This window comes from Homo sapiens, chromosome 8 (assembly GCF_000001405.40).
Source record: "Homo sapiens chromosome 8, GRCh38.p14 Primary Assembly".
In the NCBI taxonomy this organism is placed as follows: domain Eukaryota; kingdom Metazoa; phylum Chordata; class Mammalia; order Primates; family Hominidae; genus Homo; species Homo sapiens.
In genome coordinates this window covers 9609007-9621473 of record NC_000008.11, presented here as the reverse complement: position 1 = coordinate 9621473, position 12467 = coordinate 9609007, and the positions used below count along the sequence as shown (strand labels likewise).

General features: G+C 36.0%; 1 protein-coding gene across 3 annotated transcripts in view; it reads right to left on the bottom strand.

The window, feature by feature from the left end:
* TNKS (tankyrase) overlaps positions 1 to 12467 on the bottom strand; it is a 226435-nt gene that overhangs the window by 160873 nt on the left and 53095 nt on the right. For all 3 annotated transcript variants that reach the window (NM_003747.3, XM_011543845.4, XM_011543846.4), the window contains exon 3: positions 5797 to 5892. In NM_003747.3, the coding sequence (NP_003738.2) occupies positions 5797 to 5892 (96 nt within the window). The remainder of the gene's footprint in view (positions 1 to 5796; positions 5893 to 12467) is intronic.

The window sequence follows — 12467 nt, the reverse complement described above, 5'->3', positions numbered from 1 at the left end:
TTAGCTGAGCGTGGTGGCACATGCCTGTAATCCCAGCTACTTGGGAGACTGAGAGGCAGGAGAATCGCTTGAACCCAGGAGGTGGAGGTTGCAGTGAGCCGAGACTGCACCATTGTACTCCAGCCTGGGCAACAAGAGTGAAACTCCGTCTCAAAAAAAAAAAAAAGCAAAAATAAGGCCTCGGTTTGACATCTGGATGTCTGATGTGACAGCTGCAGGCAGCTTCATCTTTCCAGAATTGGAATGTTCTCAATCATAAGAGCCATCTGAGAAATCTGTTGATAAAAACTCAGTAAACCTCATCCATCTTACCAATTAAAACATTTTTAAAATGCACTTATGTTTTAAGAAATGTATAGGACTATATGCAATTCAAAACTATTTTTAGGAAGCTAAAAATTTATTAAAACTATTGGCATAAAATGTCAAATAATTAATGGTTAATGAGTATTTATATGACCTGGAAAATATGCTGCCCCCAATTATCAGTAATCGGACCTTAGACATATTTATTTGATTGATCATTTTATGTATTCTTTTGAGTCCTGGGGATAAAGAAGTAAACAAGACAGACAAAAGTCCAAACCCTTATGATGCTTTCATTCTACTGGGACAAATAACAACAACACAATGCAATGCCAGATACCAATAAATCCATGAAGGAAATCAAATAGGCTGATGGCACCAGGGACAAGAAGCCGTCTTTGAGGAGCAGACGTTTGAACTAGAGATTTAACTGATGAACTGGGGAAGTGTTCCAGTTTCAGTAAATAGCTTATGTTAGCCCAGACACAGAATAAGGTTTCATCTGCTTGAGGGGCAGCAAACAGCCAGCTGTAGCTGAAGCAAAGAGACCAAGAGAGAATACAGTAGAAGACAAGATCAGATAAATGCAAGGCAGGAGCCAGATCAGGACAGGCCACTGTTAAAGAATCTGAATTTTATTCAGAGGCTGTGGGAATATACTAAAGAATTTTCTGATTATAGAGCTGATTTATGCTTTAGTAAGACCATTCTAGCTGCAGTGAAGAGAACTGAGCGAAGTTTAAGTAGTGGCAGAGAGATCCATTATGAGGCTACTGCTGTCGTGAAACAGAGGATGAAGGTGTGGCCCAGGGCTAAAGCAGTGAGGATGGTAAGAAACGGTCAGATTGGGAATTTGAAAGTACGGTAGACCTGAATTACTGATAGGTTGGATACAAAGTGTGAGGCAAAGAAAGGAGTCCCGGCCGGGCACGGTGGCTCACACCTGTAATCCCGGCACTTTGGGAGGCCAAGGCAGCGGATCACGAGGTCAGGAGATCGAGACCATCCTGGCCAAAGTGGTGAAAGTCCATCTATACTAAAAATACAAAAATTAGCTGGGCGTGGTGGCGCCTGCCTATAGTCCCAGCTACTTGGCAGGCTGAGGCAGGAGAATCGCTTAAACCCGGGAGGCGGAGGTTGCAGTGAGCCAAGATAGCGCCACTGCACTCCAACCTGGCGACAGAGTGAGACTCCGTCGCAAAAAAAAAAAATAAATAAAAATAAGGAAAGAGTTCCAAATTTTGGTTTCAGCAAAATCTAGTAGTCAAAGCTAGGTGGTCAGGGTACAGAGCATTTAAGTCCTCACTGGTTATGCTAAAGATGTTGGTCTTATCTGAAGGGCAGCAGGAGGCAGTTAGCAGGAAAAAAAAAAAAAAAAAGCAAAGGATTTCGGATACATTTTGCTGACTTACTAAGCCAGTCTCAGCAAGAACACACCAGACACCTCAATATTGCCGGTGGCCTGAGCCACAGCTGATTCCTTATAGAGAGACTGGGGGCTACCCATCAAATCATAGATTTGGATTTCCACAGAAGTGCAATGAATCCAGGTTAAAGCTAATTTATTCTTGAGACACCTGAATGCAAACATATCCTCCTTCCACATCCCCTTAACCCTAAATACACTAGGAAAACACTAGGATCAACCATCTTAGCAATGCTGTGACCATCTAAACTCACTCACTTTACATCCCCATCATCCTTGGTCCTGACAACGACAAACATTCCTTTGGTTATCTATCCTTTTCCAAACTCTCAGGCTCAATCTGCTCTTACCTCTTTCTTTGATTCAATTTTCCACTGCTCCCTCTATCCTTTCCACTCTGCCCAGAGAATCTCCTTCACATAATTAACAAAGACCCTACTTTCTAGCCCTTTTCAACAAACATTCCCTTTGTCAACCACCTTTAACTTAAATGTGGCTCTCCCATAATACCACATGCAGCGCAGCCTTTTTAAAAAAGAAAGCTCCTCATTTTCCAAAGCTTCCTTACTTCAAAGTCAAGAACAGAGGTATCTACCATGTCCATGGATGCTAAGACTGAATGTGATGAAGCACACTTCCAACAGAATTGATTAAATGACTCTAAATTCACAGGGAAGAATAAAGACTGAAAACAACCTACCTAAATGTGAAACACTAGGGAATTCGCTCAAAAAACCAAAATATACTCATAGAAGGGTACTGTGAAGTTGTTATAAACTCAGGTTGTAGAAAAGTACTTAATGTCTTTGGGAACATTTATGTAACTAAATTACAAAAATATGTACTATTAAGCAGTTTATAACACATTAGGCTGATTTGATTAAAGAGAAATAAGACAGTGGGATGCTCACAGAAGAAAAGGTTATAAATAAAGTACACCAAAATGTTATCTCTAAGTAGCAAAATTACAAATGATTTTTCTTTTTCATCCTTTTCCTGTTTCTCTCAATTTCCAAATGAATGTATTTCTTTTACAATCAGAAAGAAAAGGCCAAAAGTATGTTACTTTAAAAAATTTATAATCAAAACACACAAAAACTGCTCTTCAATAACATTTACATAGGCTGTTTTTGACTTTTCATACCCCTATTTAAAACAAAAAATGAACAAACGAAAAATCTAAATACCTCCAAGTCCTTCAGTTTATTGACCAGAACTTCAGTCATTAGCAGAAAAACAAAAGAAAGCCCTCAAGATTTCTTCTAAGTCTACCATTCACTTACACAATAATTCAGCAAAGAGGATGATGAGTCTCTCTGAGTAAGTCTTCTCATTTAAATATCCAAGTGTGCTATCCAAAACCAATGGCCATGTGCTAGGGTCCCTTAATTGCAAAATTAAGGGTACACTGTTGCTTTGTATAGCTTTATTAAAAAACATGCATTCTTATGTATAAGATGGTATTAGTCACATATTTGTAAATGTTCTATAAAAAGAGACTGTCAGGCAGACAGGTCACCTGAGGTCAGGAGTTCGAGATCAGCCTGGCCAGCATGGTGAAACCCCGTCTCTACTAAAAATACAAAAATTAGCCAGGCGTGGCGGCACATGCCTGTAGTCCCAGCTACTCGGGAGGCTGAGGCAGAAGAATCGCTTGAACCCGGGAGACGGAGGTTGCAGTGAGCTGAGATCGTTCCACTGAACTCTAGCCTGGGCAACAGAGCAAAACTCCATCTCAAAAAAAAAAAAAAAAAAAACCAAAAAAGAGATTGTCACTTTATTAATTGCCTTTAAGGAAAACACATAAATACTTGTACACAGTTTAGACTAATGCACAAAAGTAATAACATAAAACGATGAGATACTGGAAAGACATTTGCAGCAAGTAAATTCCTAAAGAAAAAATATTTAAGAAGGAAAATTTCACTCTCAAGGTAAGTAAGGGTACTACAATTGCATCTGGCATAAAAATAAAGAATGACATATTACTCAGAATGATCTCTAATAACTCTAAGGCATTCCTTTCAAAAGAAACCCTTTTAAAAAAATTAATGTTTAATCTTTTAAATTTAGCTCTGGAAATAATTCTTTCACCATAATTCCACTGGAAAGAATTACTTATTAGAGAACCTGTATGGGCAGAAAAACATTTTGGAATACATTTCACCTAAGTGTTATTTCACTGCATTATATAGCATGAATGTAGAAACAGAACTGGTTTATATTCCAACAAAATTAACCATATTACTAGACTTTTCCTTTTAAATCACATCTGAAAAGCTGTAGATCATTTCCAAAAAAGTAGATATTCTTGAAAAGAACAATTAACTCTAAATGACTCTAGAGATATTCTTGAAAAGAACAAATGACTCTAAATCAGTATTATGACCAAGAATTTCGTATATTCCTATCTAAGCAAAGTACAGTGTTAGATGGCTTTAAAGTCAATTTTAGTAGATGTGATATCTGTCCTCCAGGAATCTTGTGTCTCCACAAGTGATTGTTCCAAAGCTCTTTCCCAAACTAACAACATCCAATATAATCTCCCCTGAAATTCATTACAAATTAGGATATAGTTTCTTGTTAATAACTTATATTAAATTTTGCCTTTTAAAAAAGTGAAAGTAGATCTAAAAGCGTTGTTGCATTAAATGTATCTAACAAATGGACAAAGCGGGTGTTGAGAGTTGGAGAGAAGGAAACGTCAGAGGGAGGACATTTAGATATACAAAGAGTCTTGCTCAGCATTTATAACCTACCCCTGTTACTATGCACTGTATTTCTCCTTTGGTCAGAGACCACTCTAAAGCTGCTATTGTTGCCCAGGGCTTTGTTAAGAGACTGAAAGGCTGTAGAATCTGAGCAGGCCCGAGGCTATGTATTTTAATTTCACTACTTAAAATTATATATTTATACTTAAATTTCTTATCTACACTAATTTAAGTAGGTTTATTACTCTAGTGTATGTTACTGTTATCCAGCAACTAAATACACTAATCTTTGATTGAGAAAAGTCATATTACTCTGAGCAATAATTATATTGATTTTAGCACAGTGCAAAGTTGTTTTTCTATGCAGAGTAATTAAGCAAAATTCCATAGATTTTCAAAGCTTTCTGTACATAAACGTTTTCCCTTCGCCTCAGTATTTTTGCTAAATTTTCACACCATGGACTCTAAACTTAAACAAGAACAAAATATTTATTTTCTTCGACCATGGGCAAATTTAAAAGGTAGTTAAAAGTCATTTACTTTCACATAACCTAAAACAATACTGTTAGCACTGCAGTGACAGAGGCTCATTACGAAGGTCAGTTAAGTAAAAGAGGGCAAAGGCAGCAGGACTCAGATGCTAAGAATAAAAACAAAAATAGATCCAATGCAGCATTTTGAGAATGCAGATCAATGAAAACACTTAGAGCACTATTTTCTATATTGTTATGAGAGACCTTTTCCATTCTAGCATTTCCTCTTTGCTGGTTCTTGGCATTTGCTTTAATAAAACTAATATTTAAGCCACAAATTTGCATTATCTGAAGTAAAAAGATAATAAACGCCTCAGTTAAAAATAACTTAGCTATCATGGTAAAAGTGAAAACATATGATTAAAGTATAAACGGGGTGGCAAGGGAGAGGCAGCGGCATATTTTATTTGACTATCGATCCAAGAAATAAGGCAGCAGGCAGCAGGTTGTCTTTCCAATCAAAACTACTTTTATAGTAATATAAATGCCCTTGCTTGCTCAACAGTAAAGGTCTTAAACAACTGAGAGGATGAGATACAGAAAAATTATGATATAAACCATAAAAATGACTAAAATACGAGTGAAAGATGTTATGATTTAATGCTATCATTCTAAGTAGACCAACAATCTTACTGCTTATGCTTACGACAGCATAGCAATTAATGAGACAGATATCAAATCAATAATAAAGTAGTAGATAATGGCAGATATATTTGCTTAGCTTCATCAGTGAAAAGAAAAATTCAGCATAACAAGATTTTATAAAATCAAGTAAGGAGTTACACAGATATAATCATTCGGTAGCTCTCTGTCTTCTTACCTGTAAGGACAGCTTTTGCTGAAGGATCTGCCAGGTCCAGGGCTGATTTCCCATCAGTGTTCCGAATGTTTGGGTCAGCTCCGTGCTGCAGCAGCACTGTGCAGGGAAAGCAGAAACAGTATCTTACCTCGGGGATACAGAGATTATTTACTGGTAAGTGTCGTCTCGGCATGGTGTAGGCATAAACATACATTGCACAAATTTTTTCTCTTTCAAGAAAAAAAAAGAAAAAAAGCAAAAAAGCACTGCAGCAAAGGAGCCTCTCTAGAGTGAAATGAAGTTGGCAACTTATGGTACAATATTATCACATGACTTAACATCATAAACATGAAACTAGAAAAATCTTGCAATGTAGAGTTTTGGTTTGCCTCCTTCAAGCAGCAGTATGGGAAGCTATGTGCTCGCTGGCTCACACTGTGAAATATGCTAACTGTGAACCTGCCCTCTCTTTACTACCACTGTGGCTGCTTGTTGCTGTCGCTGCTTTACTGCTGAATTTCCAAATGCCTCCTCTCCTCAGAATAGTTATAATACTGTGCAAGCCTTTTAGTGGCTCACCACTTGCACATGAAACTCACCATAACATACTGGATGGCTTCCAAGAAGTTTAACAGACATAGTAATGTGTGTAACCCTGGTCCCCTGGCGTGGAGCTGCAAAAAGGAACTGCCTCTTATACTCATTCTTTCCATCAAAAATGTTTAGAAACAGAAACTCAATCACTATAATATATCCTAAGGCACGAATGTAATGCCTGCCATATTGGGTAAAAAGTAGCTACTGGGAATTCTTAAATATGGAGGTTCCTACAAAAGAAAAAATCACTGTTTAAGTAAAATCCAGATATATTAATCCAAAGCATTTATCAGCCACATCTGGTATGTGGTGTGTATACGTAGGGAGGGTGGAGAGGGCAGGAGAGGAGGAGACTGTTGCTGTAATACTACCCAAACAATGATTAAATCAATGAATGTATTAAAAAGTTGTTCCAGTAAGTAAAATTCAATTGTAAGTTATGAGGCACTACCGTTGATGAGTCCCAAATTTTCATTCATTCATGACAGTTCCATGCTAAAGCACATACATTCTTTAGCAATATTTGGAAGGTAATACTCACACATTACCAAGCCGTAAGTCCTTCTGTTTACAAAGCTCTTCCTTTTCCTTTAATGTATTAGCCATAAAATCAATGGCTTTGTTATAATGGACAAACAACAGCCTTATCCAGAACTAGGACACAGCTGCCAGGAAGGTGAGCCTGTACATCTCATACATTACATTTTGGGGAGTTTCAGACTTGGGACAATAAAAACCAGCTATGGCTTGAGAAGATGCAGTGAGATCTTACAAAGCCTTTCTGTGTTATTTCCTATGTGAATGCAAACAATGAACATTATTGTTTTCCAGATGTTTATAAACTGATTCAAGAGTCAGTAGAATAAAATGGCGAGTGCCACAATATCAAAGTGTAGTTACTCTTTCATCATAATGGGTACAGCTATTGTAACAACATGTTTTTTTAATACCAGGAAGAAATTCTAACGTGAAGATTTGGCTTATAAAAGGTCTTTATCATAAAGCAGACTCAAGTATCAAATGCAAGCTGATAACTATCTCTAACTTTATTTAGTTGCTGAGTGATCACATGCAAAGGGGAAGAAAACAGAAGAAATAATAGCTACCATGAAAAGCAGAGTTTAACTGCATACTTCAGGAACTGCAGAACCTGCTTTAAACAAGAAGTAAATGAATATTTTTATCTGAGTTTGACAGTTAAATGATGGGAGCTTTCATTTTGTAGTTTTTAATGAGTGCTAGAAGTAAAATAGTGAAAGTCTGACTGTTTCTCCAAAGTCACCTAAAACCTCAATCCTTCTTGTTTTAACCCGTATTTTAACTACTATATGTTGCCCATTTTGCAATAGAAATGTGCCATTACAGTTTAGTTGTAGTTTTGTTGTACTTTAGGTGACATTAAAAGAAGTAAACATTTACTTGAAATAGATGTTTTCTAAATATGTTTGGGCCATGCCTACCTCTTTAATTAGACCTGAACACAGACACATCTACAGCAAAGTAATGTAGCAACAGGAAAGAAGCAGCTGAACTTTCTAAACCAGATGCTGATAACAAAATTCACATTAGAAAATATTTAACCATATTTCATTCATCACATATGAATTAAAAATTAAAAACTCAGTAAAGTTAAGACTTTTAGGAGAAGGTATCTAACCCCTCATTAGATCAGCAGGGGTCTAAACTTATCCAGCTTTCATACAAGATTACAAGATTGCCAGGAGGACTGAATTAGAACATAAAGTGACAAGCAAAGGTGCTGGTCAGGGAGCATGACAATCCCCATCAGCTCACCATAATATTTAAAGCACATGTTAAAATGTGTACTCTCAACTCTACCAGTGACGACTAATTCCATGCTTTGCTCTAGGGCAGGGGTCAGCTAACTCTTTCTGTAGTAGGCCTGATAGTAAATATTTTAGTCTTTACGGACTATTTGGTCTCTGTCTCAACTGTAGCTGACAATAACACAAGTTTGAACTGCATCAGTCCACATATATGCAGATTTTTTTCAGTAAAAGTTACACTGAGTGTGCCTGTCTCTGCCACCCCTGAGACAGCAAGAACAACCACTCCTCACCCTCCTTCTCAGCCCACTCAATGGGAAGACGATGAGGATGAAGATCTTTATGGAGATCCACTTCCACTTAATGAATAGTAAATACATTTTATCTTCCTTAAAAATGTTTTCTTTTCTCTAGCTTGCTTTACTATAAGAATACAATATATAATACATATAACATACAAAATAAGTGTTGACTGTTTATGTTATCGAAAAGGCTTCTGGTCAATAGTAGGCTATTAATTTTGTGGGAGAAAGTTACATTCGAATTTTAAACTGCACGTTGTTCAACGGTCCTAACCCCTGCATTGTTCAAGGGTCCTCATCCCTCCCTCGACTCTACCATTATAGTGTGAAAGCAGCCACAGATAATATTTAAATGAATGAGCATGGCTGCATTCCAATAAAATCTTACTTAAGGACTTTGAAACTTAAATTTTATAAAATTTATAAAATATTCTTCTTCTGATTTTTTAAAAAACCATTAAAAATATATAAACAATTCTTAGCTTGCAAGCCATACGAAAACAAGAGATAGGCTGGGTTTGGCCTACGGACCATTTTGCTGACCCCTGACCCTGGGCAGTGCTATATAAATGTGGTCTGTGCTATACAAAGCATATTATACAAAGTTCCATTCCCAGGTCTATGCTATACAAAGCATATTATATAAAATTCGATTCCCAGAACTGTTTACAATCCATCTACATTGAGATAAGAACTGAAACTGAAGGTATTTAGAACTATGTCTGTTGTTTCAAAATTACCTTCTCCAGTACTTCTTTTTATTTATATTTTACAAAATTATTGATCTGTCATGCATTGGGGAAAAAAGAAAACCCAGTTCTCTACCATAGACAATTTGAGAAGCACTGAGCCAGGGCACACAAGAAATTCTCTGGGCCTCAGTTCTCATGACTTTTAAAATAAAGGGGCTAAACTTGATAAGGTGATCTCTACATATTTTAGGAGCGGTCTCAAATCTCTGATAATGCTTTTAAAGTTATAGCCAAAGACCTGAAGCATTACGATCTAAAATATTCAAAAAATAAAAATAAAAAACAGCTGCTTCAAATAGAATCTCTTCTTCTCCCACCCTCTGAATCAAAATGAAAAAAATAATAACAGAAAGGTTTTCATTTATCTTAACTCTTTAAAAAGAACAAACAAAACTAAAAGTTGAGACCAGGAGCACTGAAGGTTATCAGACACATTCTTAAATGTCCCAAACTACAATATTCCCCAAGCAATTTCTCAAATAGAATTTCATCCTAAAGTGCCTTCAAATCTGATCCTTCACACTGTTCTCTATGGGGATTTATGTGGGACTATTTTCTAATACCAGAAGAATGGCACATACATGAGGCAAAGGTAACAATAGTTTTCAAGAATGCCACACTGTACTCAAAGTGGTGTCATCTAAGACTCAATTCTGGATGCTTCAAAATTTGTTTTCAACATTCTGAGCCATTAAAAAGAAAAATAAAATGTGACTATTAACACAAAATAAAATTAGAAATTTATCTTGTAAAATCAATACGCATTGATAGCACACTAATATAAAACAGATTTTTCTGAAAAAGTACCACATTGCTTGATGATACAGTGTCATATTATTTTTAAAAAGTAGCACAAATACCTGAAGCAAAGTTCCCAAAATACACCAACAATGTACAAAGTAAGGTTTGAAAGAAAAAGAAGGAAACTAAAATCTGAGTAACATTCAGTACATAAATTCAAGGGTACTATGGCCATTCACAAAGCCCCCTATACTATCTTTAACCACTGGGACATTATTAAACCTCAAATTCCAGAGAGTAAGTGATTTCTAATTGTTTTACTAATGCGTCTCAGCTCTATTCATCTCCTTTCGAGGTAAGACGGGCGGAGAAAATGTAGCAGCTGGCATAACAAGACAGTTAAAATTAAGGTAGGGTCACAAAATTCAAACACCATTTTCAAATGAGCTATGTCAAGAAGGACACACGATTTTCCCATTTCTGGTACAGGCATTCAGCCACAGGGAGCCAAATTCAGCAGGTATTACTTTAGCTATGTTGTTTCATTTCATCCTTTAAAACTATTCAAGTTAAGCATTTGCATAATTATTGCAAATAAAAACAAAATATTTCTACATTCATACAAAGACTCATTCTGTTAAATTCCTAGAAAATTACAAAGTGCTATTATAATAAATTGTGTTTAACTGCAGGCATTATTAACTAATTTTAAAAGACACAAGACATAGAAACAATGTGAATTTTCCAAGCTAAAAATGTAGCAAGCTTTTTAGAGTAAATTATCAGAAGATGTTTTAGGAAGTTTTTACTTTAAAATTATAAGCATCTAATGCTTTAAGAATAAAGAGATATACATTTATTAGACTGAGTTTCAAAAATAGGATTACATAAAGGACCAAGTTCGTTGAATTTTTTAAGCAAAGAAAATTTTTAATTTTATAGAAAAATATCAAAGGACTAAACTTTCACTACAGTACAGCCTTCAATGTATAAGATTCTTTACCAATACACATGAGCTTTAAGAGACAAACTATTTTTATAAACTGAAACACGATAGATCCTTGCGTTTATGCACTATTTCTTCTACACAAACATGTATATTAAAATGGTATAATATTATATAATGGCATAAACTATGCCATTATATTATACAGTATACATTATATCATATATAGTATGCTACAGTATATATTATACCGTAATAATACAGTATATATATATTATAGATTTTTTAAAAACTCTTTTATCTTTTCATCCAAAATACACATTACTTATTATAGCATAAAAGTAGTCAAGCTAATGTATTTTATTTTTCAAATTATCTGAAGTTGATTTACCACTAACAGTAACTATGAAAATTCAAGGCCGGGCGCAGTAGCTCATGTCTGTAATCTCAGCACTTTGGAAGGCTGAGGTGAGCATATCACGAAGTCAGGAGATCAAGACCACCCTGGCTAACAAGGTGAAACCCCATCTCTATTAAAAATACAAAAAATTAGCCAGGCGTGGTGGCGGGCGCCTGTAGTCCCAGCTACTCGGGAGGCTGAGGCAGGAGAATGGCGTGAACCCGGGAGGTGGAGCTTGCAGTGAGCTGAGATTGTGCCACTGCACTCCAGCCTGGCCGACAGAGCGAGACTCCACTTCAAAAAGAAAAAAAAGAAAAAAAGAAAATTCAAGTAACCAGTGCTATCCCTATATAGGATGGCTTACTGAATTTAAATTAGAATTCAAATGGCACAATTTTCTGTTTTCAGTAACGGCAGAGTAGCTTATTTAAATCTACCCTTAGGCTGTAAACAATGAACAGAACTAGATTTAAAACAAAAACAAAAACACAACTTCTAAAATCATCTATGAGCTAACAAGACAGTTAAAGAATTACCAGCTGAAAACTGAAGAGCAAAGGAAATCTAGAGGGTAAACGTGTATGGAAGCTGTCATTGTTCTGAAGGCAATTACTGATCAAGAAAAATAAAATCTGTCATTTCAATGTCTCATGGAATCAGGGGAAGAGCAATAAAAGCCCACAGGCCCCCAAAAGTAAGGACTATTACGAGACTGTTCCCCACACAACAAGGGTGATACCTCAGGATGAGGATAAAATAGATGTGAACTGGTCCTAGTACAGAATTACAGCTCTGGTTGGAAACTTTGGGTGTCTACGATATCTAAAGCCTAGAATTTGATTTAAGGTGGCCCCAGATTGGCAGTAACTCCTATAAATAAACAGTTGGTAAAATGTCCAGTGCACAGCCAAGATAATGAGGCACATAAATAATCTAAAATGCAAAACCTGCAACGAGCAGAAATAGACAACTCAAGAACAGACCCATAAAAACTTCAGATATCAGAGGTACAAGACATGTATTACAAAAAGAACCATGCTTATTGTGTTTAATAAAATAAAATACAAGCTGAAAGATCTAAAAAAGATGAAACTATAAAAAATAATAGGGCAAATGTATAAAAGAATTAAACAGAACTTTTAGAAATAAAAATATAACGAAAAAATT